This window comes from Homo sapiens, chromosome 1 (genome assembly GCF_000001405.40).
Source record: "Homo sapiens chromosome 1, GRCh38.p14 Primary Assembly".
Lineage (NCBI taxonomy): Eukaryota > Metazoa > Chordata > Mammalia > Primates > Hominidae > Homo > Homo sapiens.
In genome coordinates this window covers 27,558,249-27,573,780 of record NC_000001.11, presented here as the reverse complement: position 1 = coordinate 27,573,780, position 15,532 = coordinate 27,558,249, and the positions used below count along the sequence as shown (strand labels likewise).

At 57.4% G+C, this 15,532-nt stretch overlaps 1 protein-coding gene across 26 annotated transcripts in view, besides 2 other annotated features; it reads left to right on the top strand.

Moving 5' to 3' along the window:
* Positions 1-15,532, top strand: part of AHDC1 (AT-hook DNA binding motif containing 1) — a 69,983-nt gene that overhangs the window by 30,447 nt on the left and 24,004 nt on the right. For 17 of the 26 annotated variants that reach the window (XR_007059182.1, XM_047418019.1, XM_011541255.2 and 14 more), the window contains 2 exons: positions 14,898-15,075; positions 15,251-15,476. The gene's annotated coding sequence lies outside the window, so the exon portion shown is untranslated. Of the gene's footprint in view, positions 1-5,324; positions 5,756-12,971; positions 14,527-14,897; positions 15,076-15,250; positions 15,477-15,532 lie in introns of those variants that run through there. The other 9 variants (XR_007059184.1, XM_047418022.1, XM_047418017.1 and 6 more) reach the window with 4 other exon arrangements.
* Positions 4,763-5,382: a silencer, noted in NCBI's record as "silent region_521". NCBI's record gives its function as "represses an Ori minimal core promoter by ATAC-STARR-seq in GM12878 lymphoblastoid cells {active_cell/tissue: GM12878}" and the evidence as "EXISTENCE:reporter gene assay evidence [ECO:0000049][PMID:35858748]".
* Positions 10,180-10,907: an enhancer, noted in NCBI's record as "H3K27ac-H3K4me1 hESC enhancer chr1:27889385-27890112 (GRCh37/hg19 assembly coordinates)". NCBI's record gives its function as "activates a minimal SCP1, AML or CMV promoter by ChIP-STARR-seq in naive H9 embryonic stem cells {active_cell/tissue: H9 hESC(naive)}" and the evidence as "EXISTENCE:reporter gene assay evidence [ECO:0000049][PMID:30033119]".

The following is a 15,532-nucleotide window of genomic DNA, read 5'->3' as shown; positions in this document are numbered from 1 at the left end:
TCCTGGCAGAGATCTACGTAAATAATAAAAGGCAGGGATGCCCTGGACCACAGAGGGAACTTGCATTCAAGGCCAGGTATAGGGAACTTTGTAACCTTCCCTTGCCTTTGGTTTGGGGAGACAGCTCTCTGGGGCGCTGGGATAGGAAGTGGAGCAGGAATGAGCATCCACCAGCTCTTTTTGGCAAAGCCTGGATCCCACCAAATTTATGTGGCCCAGATTCCAGGGCTGCGAGGTGCTCATGTCTTTGGATGCACTGTTGGGCAGTTCTCATAAACTCTCTAGGACTACAGATTCCCCTCCCAACTAGTCGGTTCCACCTCCCTCTGCCTCAGAAAAGCCTTTCTGGGCTAACTGTACCCTACTCCCCAGTGTCTTTACCACACATAGAGGGCTCCCACTGGGGAACTATGAAAGAAAAGGGCAACCAGGAGTTCGGCTGTGTGACGTTAGGCAGGCTGCTTCCCCTCTCTGGGCCTTGGTTTCCTTCCTCCTGCATAGCGAAGGAGGTTGGATTAGTGGCTCCCTAAGGCACCTTCTAGCTCTGACAGGCTCCAAGCCTGTGTTGACTGATGTGTCCTAGGAGATAGGCGCACACAGAGAACCAAGTCAGCTCGGAGATTCCTGTCAAGGTATCCCCACCCCACCCCCAGAAGGCTGGAGTGCCTCCCTTCCTGAGACACACCCTTCAGGGATACTGGTGGAGGTTGTGGTGGATGGAGGGGGCTTATCACCCAAGCCAGTGGCACCGCTGCTTCCCTAGGTCTCTGTTGTCTGTGGAGAGGCCTGTGCATAGGAATAAGAGCTTGTGTCAGGCGGGGCTGTGAGACTGTGTGCTTCTAGGGGAAGGGAATGTGTGTGTCAGTGACCAGTCGGCCTCCAGGGAATTGGGGCATGGCGCACAAGACAGCTAGCTCATGGGTTGGTGTCTCCAGAAGAGCGATCGCAGGGGCGGTGTGTTGAGGTGTGTGCAGGACAAGGAGGCTGGCAGTGGGAGGGAGGAAGAAACATCCATGAAGCAGAGAGCCGGGCTTTGGGTCAGGACAGGCTCCTCAGAGAGGCTCCAGCCTCCTGGGGAAGCGGCTGGAGTCAGCACAGTCCCACACTGCGTGGTTTTGCCTGCACCTGGGTTTGTCAGTTGTTTATGGATGTTGAGCTGAGTGGCACTGTTTGGAATTGGAGTTGTCATGTACTGTTGTGGGGGTATCTGTAGGGGTGTTGTCAGGGCCTCTGAACAGTGCATGTGTGGCTGGCTAGGGTACGGACGTGTAGCTGTCCAGAACAGTGTTGTAAGGCAGTAGGCAGCTCCTGGCCGTTTGGGCTGCTATCAGATGTCAGGTTGTACTGGGACCATCCGGTGGTGTTTTCAGGCTGTGAGTGAATCCTGGCCATGTTTTGGGTGCCTCTTCCCTTCTATCTTTGTACAGAGGGGGGCCCCAGGACACCTGGAGGGAGGTCTCCTGTCTTAATCAGTCCCTCCACAGGTAAGCAGGCAGGCAGCCTCAAGCCCCCTCACTCTCAGTAATTTTACCACGGTGCCTAAGTCAGGAACAGGCGTGAATTGACCTTTTAACCCCTTCCCCACCACGGGATTAGACTCTGTTTCCTGTTCAATCTCCTCCAGAACCAATTCCACCCCGTCTGGACCACCCCCCAAAATGGATAAGCAACCCCCTCCATTTCTTTTCTCCCCCACCCCTGTCAGGCCTTGAGTTGGGGGGCTGAAGGCCAGGCTGGTGCAGGGTCTGGCAGGAGCTGAGGGCCCAGGTGGGAGTGATAAATATTGAAGAGGAGGGATTTCGGTGTGGGCTGGAGCAGCTGCAGTGGTTCGAGTGTCACACTATCTCTCCCCAGGTTTACTGACCCATTTCCATTCACGCGGCTGCTGGTTTCCTAGCAACGGCAACAGTCCCCCCAGAACAGGCGGAGTGTGTGTCTGCCATTAGCGACTGCCGCAACTGTGTCAAGGTTACCCCGCTCCCTGCAAACCCACCCCGGCGGGTTTGTTTTCTGCCAGCGCCTGGCACACACCATGCCAGCCTGGGAGGGGGAGGGGAGGGGGCTGGGGGCCAGCCCCAGGGCTTGGGTGAAGTAGGGGGCCGAGGAGGAGCTGCTGTTCCCGGTCCAGTGGGAGCCAACTTGGACTGAGGCCGAAGCAGCCACCCCCCCCTCCTTGGCTGGTGGAATTCCTGAGCCTGAGGGGAGCAGGGGGTGGGGCTGTCCCTCAGCCCTGACCCCCGAGATTCCAGAGCCTGGGGGGAGGGCTGTGGGCCGAGGGGGCCTCCAGGAAGCCTGTCCGGTCTGACCCCACCTGACTTGTTCTGCTCCTGCCCTGGCTTCTTCCTCCTCCTGCTGCAGCTCAGGGTTCTGCTCCGCTCCAGGCTCTTTGTCCCAGCCTGCCTCTGTGCCTGGTCTCCCCCATCAGACTCCCCAGGGCAGGGTTGTATTTCTCCTGTTGGACTAGGGGTTCCTGAGGTTGGGGTTCATAATGCCTCCTTTCCTTCTCCACCCTCAGCACTAGCTCATGACTATTTTTCCAAATGGCATGGGAGATGAGATGGGACATTTGGGGTGGCAGAGAATACTAGTGGGGACTTTCTGGATACCCTCATTCCACCACCGCTCGCTAAAGGAGATTCTTCCTACACTCCCTCCACCTGGCAGCCCACACTGGGTCTGGCCACAGGAAGTAGAGTACCCTGCCTTTTCTTCCTGAAAGTCAGGCTGCAAAGGGTTAAAGGAGCTCTCCCACCCCTTGCGTTGGTATGTGAGCTCCCCCAGGCTGGGGGGATGGGAGAGTGGGGGGGTCTGTCACCTTATAGCCACTCATGTGGTCAGCTCAGACCTGACCAGTCACATTCCTGCCCAGGAGGGCTGGGGCTTGAGGCAGAGGGGCAGGGGCAGGGGCCTGGAGGGGGCTGGTTTGCAGGAATGGAAAGGGGGAGCCAAGAAGCTGGGGCAAGGGGCTGCTGGGCAGTATTAAGATACATAAAGCTTGAGTCCATCTCCTCATTCCTCTAGGCCTCAATCTCCCTATCTTTCCTCCCAGTTTGCACCCCCTAAAACCTTCCAGTGGTGCACATGCCTGTGACACAGGTACAGACCTGGTCCCAGTTCTAAACAAAGAGAAGAGTGTGGCCAAGGCAGTTTCTGACATGCAGGGCAGCTCAGGGACTTGTTGGTAGCCTGCAGTGTGACTTTCTGGTGCTTAGGGGAGGTTGGCTAGGTTTTTGGCTGGGTCAGAGGATTTGAGATCTAGGGTACGGATCAAGCTGTGCTAGACAGTAGAAAGAGACCTGGGCGGGGACCCAGGAAACTTGGTTCTTTGCCCAGCCCTGTGCCTGACTCCTCATGGCCTCAGTATCCCCATTTGAAGGGTTTAGGCCAGTGGTCTCTAAAAGCCCTCCTGTCCTGTTAGTCAGTAGCCCTGGGTGAGGGATGAGGGGTGGGGGGCGATGGTCTGGAGGGGTGTGGGAAGCTGCCAGCTCAAGGGGGAGTTTGCAACGTGATCCCAGAGCGAAAATAGCCCAGGTCATTTTCAGCTGCTTGGGCGGAGGTATCTGATCCCGGCAGGGCAGCTTGGGCAGGGGGCAGGGAGGAGCATTCTGTAAAGCTCTCTGGGAAACCAGACCCTAGGATGGGAGGGTAGGGAAAGGTTGGCATGCCCAGCTGGGCTTCCTGAGACCCGCTGGGGGCCCAGGAATGGAAAGATGAGGAATGCAGAGGGTTAACAGGAGGTGAAGGCTGGACTCCAGCCCCCTTTGGGTCCTGGCCTGGCTGAGGTGAAAGGTCAGCTCCAGGGAGTCTAGGCACAGCTGGGGAAAGAGTAACCCGATCCTTCTCCCTAGCCAGACTCAGGGCATCACAGTGCCGCCTCCCCCAGGAAAGGTGCTTTGACATCCCCAGGAAGGAGTTTGTTTCTACTTGTTCTCAGCAGGGGTTGGGGCTAGGGGAGGGTCCAGGCCTGTCGGGTCAGGGAGAGAGCTACAGGCCAGGCGCCCCAACCAATATGGCAGTGCTTTGTCATCCGGGGGTCAGGGGAGGTGGAGGTGAGCCTGCTGGAAAGGTTAGAGGTAGCCTGTTCTGGCCCTGCTGTCACGCTGCCCCATTTATGACTCCTGACGGCCAGCATCAGGGCTGGGGAAGCTTAGAGGTAGGAGATGTTCTTCCCTTCTCCAAACACACTGAGTAGTGAGAGAACCCGCCTGGTACTAGACTGTGACAGCGAGGTATGTTTGGGGTGGAGAATTACACCTCAACTCTGAGATAGATGGCTTTGCTGTCTGCAGTTGTGTGTGTGGTGGGGTGCTAGGGTGTAAGGTGGTGTGATGGGAGGCTGAGATGATGCGACATGGAAGAACATGGGGTTCAAATCCTTGCCTGTCTTAGGCAGGCTATTTTACCCAAGCCTCAGTTCCCCCATCTACAAAATAAGACTAATAGTACTCACCATGTAGGGTGATGATGAGGATTGGCACAGAGTAAGTGCTCAGTAAAAAGTAACCTTAACAAGCCTTATTGGATGCCAAGGTCACACACAGTGTGGAGCCAGGATTGCAGCTGGCAGTCTGACTCCAGAGCAGGGGTTGGTGAGCTATAGACCATATGAGGGAGAAGACAGTTTCCAGAATGTGACTGCGTCAGTGTCCCCAGGGCTGTGCACTGGGCGATGGGGGGTAGTATCCAGATGATTTGGGGTGGGATGGGGTGAGGGGGCTTTGAGTATGTGGCAAGTGGGCGGGGGGGTTCAGGGCAGGGCTCTTCTTACGGCCGATTTCTGGGGCTTTCGCCAGCCCCCCGCGCCCCACCCTGGCAGGCTTTGTGCGGGTGTGTGGGTGTAGCTGTCCCTGGAGTGCGGCTGTAGGTATGTTTGAGAAGGCGCAGGCATCCCGAGAAAGAACAAGTCGCCTTTTGTACGCGTCCAGCCCCAGGCTGGGCTGGGCGCTCTCTGGGGGATCCCCTGTTTCCGCGCCCAGCTCCCCGCCCACGAAGAGCGCCCCGGCCCGGCCCGGCCCGCCGCAGGCTCCCACCTGAGGGGCGCAGCGAGCGGAGCGCCCCCTCCCGGGCACCCGCGCCGCGGCCGGGGGAAAGGGTCCGGGGAAGAGGGCGTGTCCGAAGCCCCGACCCCGCCCCTAGCGACATCACTCCAGGTGCTACCAATCTCCGGGAGCCCGGCCCGCGCGGCCCGCCCCCTCGCGGGCACCGCTCCTGGTGTTCGGGACGCGCCGTGGGTGGAGTCGGCGGGAGGTGGAGGAAAAGGCAGGGCCGGCCTAAGGGGCGGGGAGACCGTTGAAGGCCTCGCCCTTCCAAGTCTGGGAGAGGCTGAACACGCGAGCGACCTGAGACCGAGCTGCTCTGCTCCCGTGAAGCTCCTCACAAGACCTCTCTCCTGGAGTGCTCCACCTTCCAGCCCACCTGCCCCAAGATCTTGCCAAGTACCACTTTCTGCAGGAAGCCTTCCTAGAACCTACCCTGCGATCTTTTCTGATTACCCGCACCCTCTAGGACCCTCTGTAGTTAAGGGCAGTACCAGCACTACTGCCAGCGCTAGCTGCCATCCACTGAGCAGTTTGCTCAGTGTACCCCCACACTGCTCCATGGAATGGCTTACCGGCTGCATTTCTGCGGGCTGTCCACCTTGTACTATCGGGCCCTTCTCACCCACAGGGTTGGGTGTGCCTCTGGTCAGGCGTTACAGACACCGGCCCGCCTCAGAATAGCCACCACTGCATCCAGAGTCACACAGAGCAAGGAGGTAGGAGCATCAAAGCTGGAAACCAGGTTTCCCAGCTTCCTTCAGGCCTTTGGTTCAGGTGTGTGATTAAGAGCAGGGAGTTGCACGGAGACTTGCTTTAGGCCTCACCTTTCCCCATAGGAGGCCTCTGCCCTTCCCTGTCCCTCCCCACAAACTGGAAGAGCCCTAGGCCTACCTTCCTCTGCAATCCACAAATCTGGACGAGAACCCCAACTTCTGTGAAGAGGGAGAGATGTTGGGGGAGCTGGGAGGGCTTTTGCAAGCCAAAGGGGCAGTTCTGGGCTACAAGGAGTATTGTGGGCCCAGTGATTTGGGGGTGCTTGTGTTGGGGACATAATGATTTAGCTTGCAGGTGGGAGGTTCCAAGTTGAGCAAAGAGGAGGGTTAGGAGCCACAAGTATGTGGGGTTCAGTGCAGTGCAAGGGAGGCAGGGATTATGCTGGGCCAGCACTGCCCCCACCAATAGCCTGGCCTGGTGGAATGCTGGGAGGCCCCAGGGATGGGGCCAGGCAGCCAAGGTGTCTCCGGTGGCACAGAAGCAGTTAAGAGCTGCCTCAGCCTGTTCCTTCAGACAATTAGTGACATCTCGCTTGACAACACCACACTGAGCCGATGCAGACCTCAGCCCCCCTCCCGGCCCCCCGACGGCCGCTTCAGCTGTTTATTCTTGGGCTTTAACAATTGGGATTCTGACTTGGAGGAGCGGGCGCCCCGCGCTGCCCTCTGACCCACCGTCGCCTTGGCAACTGGAGCCCGGTAGGCCTGGGCTCTGCGTTAGGATTACAGATCCTGAATTCACAATCTTGCTGCTTCCCTGCAAGCAGCAGTGGCAGCAAGCAGCAGCATGCAGGATCTTCAGCTAGACTGGAGGGGACAGAGAGGAGGAGGGTCCCCAGGGCCAGCCTGAGGCGCATGCAGGAAGCTGGGATGCCCACAGACGGCCTGGAGAGCAGTGCACCCTCCACAGCCTCCCTAGGATTGGTCAGGGCCTAGAGCCATGCTCCACTCCCAGCATCTCTGTGGCTCTCTGGAAACTTTCTTCCTGGTAGAGCCCCGAGGGCAGGGGCGAGGCTTCTTCCTTACCCTGCCTTTCTGCCTCAGCCCCCTACCATGCCCAGAGCTCCAAGTGCCAGCAGACTGTGCCCCTGCCGTGCCCGCCTCCATGGCAACAGGCCCCCCTCCCTCGACAGCTCTGCTCCTTCTTCCCCCCACCCTAGCAGCCAACTGCCCCAGCTGAAACCAGAGCCGATGCATCTGTGAGCCTCATGCCCAGACCCACATTCCATTTCTGTCCTCTGTCCCCCCCCAGTTCTGGCAATGACATCCCTCCTCCTCCTCCTCCTCCACCCCCCTCCCTCCTCACCTCTGCCTACTGCTGTTCCCCCCACACTCTAACACTTAGTAGTGTCACCCCCTCTTCCCACCCCATCTGAGTGTGTCTCACCCTCCGACTGTCGCTGTGGGGCTCTGGGTGTGTCAGTCCCTCTGTCTGTCTCCAGCTCCCGGGTCGCTGGTGCTCTGTGCCTCCGCCTGTCTGTGCAGACTCCTCAGGTTCCTTCTCCATCTCTTCCCCCCTGTGCGTGTGTCTTTGTCTCTGCATCATCCTGCCTGTCTCTCTCTTTTGTCTTTTTCTTTCTCCTTGTCTCTCTCTCTTCCTGAGTCTCTTTCTTGCTGTTTTCCTTCCTCTGGCATGGTCGCCCTCTCTCTCCCTCTCTGGCTCTCGCCCCCTCCCTCCAGATCTTTTTCTCCTTCTGCCTCTTTCTGCCCTGTTTCTCTTGCCTCAGTGTCCTTCATCTTTCTGTCTCTCTTCCTGGATCTGAATCTCTGCCTTGATTTCTCCCGCCCCCTGTCTTTCTTCTGACTTTGTCCTTCTAAATACATATCTTTCTTTCAGAGCTGGGCCTTTCAGTTCTCCTTACTCTATTTCCTACCAGGTTGTTTCCTTCCCAGGCCTATGAAGATTGGGGAGCTGGTGCAGGGGGCAGGGCTCCAGAGTCACCCCAAAGGATCCCTCTTTTTAGTAGGGGCCAGATGTCCTGGAAGCCCCACTGGGCTTATGTGGTTGAACCTGAAATGGAGGGTGCAAGGTTGAAGAGCCTACAGAGAGTGTGGCACCAGGAAACAAGAGTGTGAGTCTGCCTTTCCAGGGTTTTAGGGGATGGGCTCCATCCATCTAGTCTACCTTCCACTAGCCCAGGGTAGGAACAGAAGATAGTTCCAGGAGCTAAACTGGCCCAAGAAGCTCTCTAGAGAACAGGCCTCACTGATTCTTGGGATTTGTCCCTTCCCTTGCTAAAATGATGGCAAGTTCAGACTGTGCCTCAGTTTCCCCAGATGGTATAGGGATACTATCCTTGCTTCATGTCTGACTTCTTTAAAGTGCTTTGAGTTCCTGGAACAAACTCAAAGTTATGAGGAACAAGGAAAGACTAGAGTGACTCCCGCCCCTTGCTCACCAGCGCCGGGGGACACCAGACAGAATGTTTGTCCAGGGCATGGGTGGAATCAGGGTCCTGTCTCCTTAAGGGTTGGGTGGAGGACAGTGCCTCGCCTCCCTTCAAGACTGGCAGCCCCTGCTGTCTGGCCCGCCCTCCCAGTCTGGGCAGTGGCCTCTGTCCTTCCTCTCTCGCCCCTCTTCATGGAATGAGCTTGGAGTCGTGGGCAAACAGGCCCTGGGGTAGGGGAGTCAGGCCTCACCTCTGGGTGTGGTGAGGCCTGGTCAGGCAGACCGTTCTAGGATCCTGGGGTCTGGGCACTACTCACCAAGGGGCCAGGCGGGGGAGTAGGGGTGCCTGGGGGAGGCAGGTTGCACGCAAGGCATGCTGGGCCCCCTCGGCGGGTGGGTGGGGGGAACAAAGCTGGCATCGAGGCCTCAGCTAAAATTAGCCGCTTCCCTGCGCGGGAGCGAGCATGCCTGCCAGCCGCCCAGATCGCCGCTGCCTCGGCAGGCCATCTGTCGCCACGCTTTACTCAGTCCCCCAGGGCCCCCCAGCTCCAGCCACCCCCAGGGGCTAGGGGGACTCTGCTCTGAGGCTGTCCGTGGCCAGGACTCTAGGCTCTTGTGCTGTCGTGCTGTGTGACCTCAGGCTAGGCCTTTCCCTCTCTGGGCTCCTGTAAAACGAGGGGCCCTAGACACTGACATCTCAGGTCCTCTAGTCCTTCCAAGCACCAGGTGCTGCTGCTGGTCATGATGGGGTGGGAGGTGGGGTGCCTCCCTCCCCTTAGAGCCACTCCTCTTGTCCAAGCTTTGGGCCAAGTGGGGTTTAGGGTAAAGGTAGGGCATGGTGGACTCCTATCAGATTCATTGGTCTTCATCGGGCGGCAGGGAGGCACTGCATCCAACAACACCCCAACATCTCCCCTGTCCCCCTCCACACTTGACCTCCAAGCAGTCTTAAAGAAACAGCTCCAGGTGGGGAGCCAGGAGATGGAGGCTGAGTTCAGCTGATCCTAATTTGCTCTGTGGCTTGGGCAAGTCTCTTAGTCTATTTCTCCCTCTCTTCAATCAGAAGCTTCCCATTTCTTGAGGAGCGGCCCACTTTATGCTACCTTGTCTCATGAGGCTGGCACTCTTGTCCCTTTTGTACAGATGAGGAAGATGAGGTTCCTTGTGAGGAAGCAGGGGAGCAGGGGAGGCGGGCTGGAGCCCTCTGTGGCCTGAAGTTCTGCCTGCTGGTCTCCAGCTTCAGCTTCTTCTTTCTGACCCTGGCACTTCTCTCACTGCGGCCCCTTCCCCCCTCCCCGAAGCCAAAGAGGCTGAGCTGCTGCTCCAAGGTCACCCAGCTTGGCCCTGGAGGAGCTCAGACTGGAACCCAGGCCTCTTGGCTCTTGGCCTCCCTCACCACTATGGCCAGCAGGCTGGGCCTGTTCCCTGGGTGAGTCATGTTCCTGGACTTTGGCCTCCTTGTCCCCAGCTCTGTGGCCTGAAGTTTGGAGAGGGGGCCTTTGTAAGGAAGAAGGGCTCCCCTGGAAGCTATGGGGGTCTCAAGCCATTATCCCATACTCTTCCCACTGAGCACATGGTGATAGCAACCCCTAACCGCCCTACTCCCCACTGATCTCTAAGCAGTCTCATAGTAACAGCGCCTCAGGACAGCCCTCCCTCCACCACTCATTCAGCCCCCTCCCTAGATACACAACTACAGTGAATAAGAAATGGAGTGGAGTGAGGGCTGGGGGAGGTGGCATTTCCAGGTAGTCAGTGTGTCCAGGCAGCTTCCTCCCCAGCACTCCTCTCCCCCAGCACCCGCCACTGGGCGGGAAGCCACAGCACCTCCCCTCCTGGTGTCCAGAGGCCAAGGTCACACCAGAGCCCTGTGTGCCTTCACCTCCTCTGGGGCCAGTGGTGTTTGTCACTGGGGCAATGTGTGGCTGTGCCCGGCTCTGGCAGTGCTGGGGTGACATTCATGCCGTGTGAGCTGTGACGCCTCTGCAGGCAGAGGGACGGCACCACCCAGGCTGGTGACAGTGATGGGGGAGGGGTGAGGTGGGCTGTCACCTGTCCAAGGCAGCCGGGGAGGTGACATGTTGTGTACCCATCCCACAGTCTGCAGGGAGGATTCCCAGGCAGGGGCGAGGTTATGTCCCTGCCTCATGCTGTGTGGTGGGTGGAGGGGTCCATGCCTTCCTCACACCTGGAAGATGGGACTTGTCCCACGTGTGTGTGTGTGTGTGTGTGTGTCTTGGTCAGCTGTGTGACAGGTTCTGTGTGTGTGTGCATGTGTGTGTGTCTTGGTCAACTATGTGACAGGTTCTTTGTGTGGGTGTGTGCATGCATGCGTGCGTGTGTGTGTGTCTTGGTCAGCTGTGTGACAGGTTCTGTGTGTGTGTGCATGTGTGTGTGTCTTGGTCAACTATGTGACAGGTTCTTTGTGTGGGTGTGTGCATGCATGCGTGCGTGCGTGTGTGTGTGTCTTGGTCAGCTGTGTAACAGGTTCTCTGTGCATTAGTGGGTGTGGGGGTGCCTGGTTGCGTGTCAGTTATGCCACTGTGAGGGGTAACAGACGCCTGCCCCATGCTGTCGAGGGTGTGTCAGGTGTGCCCATCTCATGTTTGGAGGAAGCGACAGGTTATGTGCTTAGTTCATCCCGTTAGGAGGGTTGTCACCAACTTGTGCGCCTGTCTCTGGCTGTTGTGTGTGTGAGATGTCACCATGTGCCCGTCGCAGGCTGTTGTGGGGAGTGGCATGTGTGATTCTCTCATGCTGTTGGGAAGTTGTCAGTAACTTGGGAGCTCGTGTCTCACTCTAAAGAGACGACATGTTTTCTGGTGATACGGGGCTGGCAGCTGGTGGGGCCTTCCCATGCAGACCACAGAGCCCCAAAGGGCTGGCCAGAGGAAATGCTTAGGGCCCTGAGCAGAGGGACAAGTGGGAGCTGGGGGGTGCTCAGTCCCGCATGATCTACCCTCTCACCCATATGTCAGCCCGTGGGACTGTTCCCCAGGGGGAGGGACCCAGCATTCTTCAGATGGTGTGGAGAAGGGCCTTTAGGGCCAGGGCAGGTGTGTGTCTGTGAGGTGGGGCACCAAGGCAGGGTTTGCATGGGAGGCAGGGGGCTGTGTCCCTGAGGGCCTGGGGACCCTATTTCCTGCCTCTCCTGCCCCTGAAACTGTTAAACTAATTAAGGCTCTGGAGCCACAGGATTAATCGGGGCAGCTCTGCGCGGGCCGGGAGCTCAGGTAGTCAGTCGATCAGTGCACCGGGGAGGATATTGGATTTCTGAACCGCAAGTCAGCACTATTCGGGCCTGTTATCTCTCCCAGGCTCGGGGGTCAGGAGGCGGGAGGCTTGGCGCACTGGCCGCCCCCGCCGAGCCAGCTTGGGCGCGTCCACTCCCCCTGCCCACACATCCCAGCTCTGGCCTGTCTACTGCCCACACAGGCCTCCCCTCGGCCCTTCTCCCCGGCCCACCCTGCCTCTGCTTCGCTGCCTCTTTCTCAGGCTCCTGCAGAAACCCCTGGTCCCTGCTCTCTCCTGCCTTTCCCATCTCTGCCTGGCTCGCTTCCCCCGTGCCTCTCTCCCCTCTGGGGCTCTTCCTTGGTCCTTACTGGCCTCAGACTCACTCTGGGCCTGAGCTACCCCCTCCCCTCAGCCTCTGACAAGGTCTCACCCGCCTCTCTCTACCTTCCTCTCCATCTCCCTTCTTCCATGAGCCCCTCATCACCAGTCCGTCTCTGCTTTTGTGTTTGTGCGTGCCCGTCTTCCAGTTTCTGTCTTTCTCTGTCTCTCTGTCTCTGTTTCTCTCCCCATGTCTCTGTGTCTCCCTGTGTATCTTTCTCCCTCTTCCTCTCTGTCTTTTCCTCTCTCCCTCTGGCACGCTCTCTCTCTCTGTCTTTTCCTCTCTCTCTCTTGTGTGGTCTCGGCTGGTGTCTGCAACCAGAACAAATCTCCCCCAGCCAACACCCCCTGAACAAGGAGGCCAGAGCAGCTAATGGGAAACATGTGATTCTGCCTTGCGCCTGGAGCACCGTGAAGGGAGCCTTAGTCCCAGCCCAGCCCCTGCACCCCTCCTTGCTGTGTTCCCCCCACCACACTGTCCTCTGCCTCCCAGCAGCTCCCCCAGCCTGTGTGGGCACTGTTGGAAGTTCATTTACACTGGGTGGGGGCCTGACGTTTATCTGCTGGGGAGTATCAGGTTGTGGAGGGGCTAAGGGCAGCTTTGCTCCTGAAGTTCCCCCCCAACACTCAGGGCCAGGCAGACCCCATGCAGACTCCTCCCACCCACCACCACCATATGTAGGAGAACAGGGCCAAGATGAGCCGAGCTGTGGGGGCCTGAATGGGGGGCAGCCAATCTACCCCCACTGGAGGGCTCTAGGGCCACCCAGATTTCCATCTTTTCCTTCCTCCTGGGCCTCTGGGGAGCTGCAAAGGTGGGGGCTCCCCAAGGGCTTGGGAGCTGCCGGGCTGTGTTTCTGTGCCCACCCAACCACAGGGAAAGGGGGGACAGATCAGAGGAGGGAGGCTCTGGCAGGTTGGAATTCTCCTTCTCTGCCTGTGGATAAATTGTCCCTAATCCAGGCTTGGGGAGTTGTCTGGCTCCTACAGAGAGAGAGAGAGAGGAAGGGAGGGAGAGGGAGGGAAGAGGGAAGCAGGCACACACAAACACAGTGACACAGACACACACACACCGTCTCACAAAGGGTATCTCACATGCATGCACACACGCACTCACACACTGAGCCCTTCACAAAGGTACCACACAAACCCTGGGGCACCGTTGTGCTGACACACCATGGCACACAGACCTGCTCACACATGTTGACGCTGACACACGGCCATACTGGCACAATCATACAGTGACATAGCACAAGGACCCACTGACATACACAGAGACACGCTGTGGTACACAGACACACAATAAGGTCACACAAATCCACACATGCATGGACACACACACGAGCACATACTGACCCATGGTGAAAGAGACCCACAGGGACACTGTGGCCAGTCACACTGCCACACCATGACCCTGAAAACCCAGAGAAAGGCAGAGGTGGGAGGGAGGCAACACTGATCCACAGTGACACCAGTGCCTGCAGTCACAGGCCTCGAGATTGGAAACCTGCAGGGACAGCAGAGGATCAGCCTCACGCCCCCACCCCCTGCCAAACACACATCCAGAGAGCTCTGAGACAGGCAGGAGCCGGTTTGGCTCCTGACACAGCGAGATGCAGAGAGCCAGGCAAAGCGTGTGCACACCCAGGCATGCTCACACCCAGCCACAGCTGGGCTCACCTGGCTACACACAGGCACACATGCACCCCTGTGTCCTCACACACAAACAGGCTTAGCTAGACTCACACACACACACACACACACACAAAACGAATAGAAATAAACGTGAAAAGTGCACATACCCACATGTATGACTGAAGACACCAAATCCAGGCACACACTTAAGCTGGCATCACACATACACACACACAGCTGACCACAGCAGCCACAACTGAGCAAACGCGTGATCCCACACATGGACACGCTTAAGCCCACATGTACCCACACAGACGTACAGAAATACAGAGAAGCACACGAACAGGCTAAATAGACCCAGGAACCCACATACAGGTATATTTACCCAGACAGCTGAGCCTTGACAGATATGCATTTGCACAGGCAGAATCTCGATCACACGCATACAAACTCCCAGGCAACCAGAACCTATAAGCAATCCGTGAGGCCTGGTTCCCAGACCCCCTCTGGGCTCCAGTACAGACCTCGAGGAGGCAGACAAATGGGCAGGAAGCAGGGGGGTGGTGAGGAGGGCCATGGTTATTAAAGAAAACAAGAGACATAACTAGTTACTGATGGAAATGGGTAAACGCCAGCTGCATATACACCCTTGTGGAAATTCGCATCCACCATCACTCTGAACAGCACCTCTCACATCTGCATTGTCAGTAACCTGTTTGCATTATAGTTTCCCCAGATGTTCCTCCCCATTCATAAGATCTCACTTTTCCTATTTTATACATGAGAAAACTGAGAGCCAGAAAAGTTAACTGACTTGCCCAGAGTCACACAGTTATGAAGGTTGAGCCAAGGACTGTCAGACTCCCAAAGGCCAGGTTCCTTCCACTATAGTATATGTGCATGTATATGCATGTGTGTACATAGATGTGCAAAAACATTGCTTCTCAGTAGGAGCCTGGGGTTTCAAGAAACAGGTTTGGCTGGTGCAGTGGCTCATACCTGCAATCCCAGCACTTTGGGAGGCTGAGGCTGGAGGATTGCTTGAGCCCAGGAGTTCGAGACCAGCCTGGGCAAGATGGTGAGACCCTGTCCCTACAAAAAATTTAAAAAAAAAATAGCCAGGCATGGTGGTGCATACCTGTAGCCCCAGCTACTCGGGAGGCTGAGGTGGGAGGATCACTTGAGCCCAGGAATTCAAGGAGGCAGTGAGCTATGATCATGCCACTGCACTCCAACCTGGGCCACAAAACGAGATGAGGCCCTGTCTCTCTTATTTTTTTTTTTAAAAAGAGTCTCACAGTTCCCAGGTGGGATAATGCGATGAGGTTGGAGGTGGATGGGACTCCATGTAGGAGAGCTTCCTGGCTCAGTGTCCGCCTGCACCCTGCTGTCTGGCTGGCTTACCCTGTGTCCATGCTTATCTCTGTGGTGCTGTGTTTGCTTCCACAGATGGGAGCTTGCCTGATTGTCAACCCATCGGCCTGGACCCCAGAGCCCACCCAGTTGAGCGTGTGCAGAGGGCCCCGAGTGCGGGGCGACGCTCAGGCCGTTGCAGAGACCACCCTGGAGATGCTGATGAAGACAGGCCTTTCCTGCTGAGCCCAGCCTATCTTCGCAGCCTGCTCAGGTAACAGTGTGCAGGGAAGTCAGGCTTGGGCCTGGGCCACCCCCAGGAAGTGGGGATCAGGGGAACTTGCCTCCCAGTCCCAACAGGGATCCCCTCCCAGCTTAGGTCAAAAAGAGCTTCTTTACAGAATCAAAACATATTAACCCAACATTTACTCAAACTCCCCATTATCCAGAAAGGGGAACTGAGGCTCATGGATATACAGTGAGTCCTACCTCCTAGCCTGAGGACTCTTCCCTGCGCCTTGATGACCTGAGAGAACTGGGAGGAGAAAGGGGTTGTGACAATGACCAGGACTCAGGGCAGAGGTGGAAACCAGAGTGCCTGATGTGTGCAGCTGCTGACCCCCCCAGGACACCTCTCTACCGGAGTCTGTGGAAGCAGAGAACTGGGAGGCCAAGGTGAGGTGCTGGGAGGGCCTGGGTAGCCCAGGTATGCTAAGGTGCCCTTGCAGGAC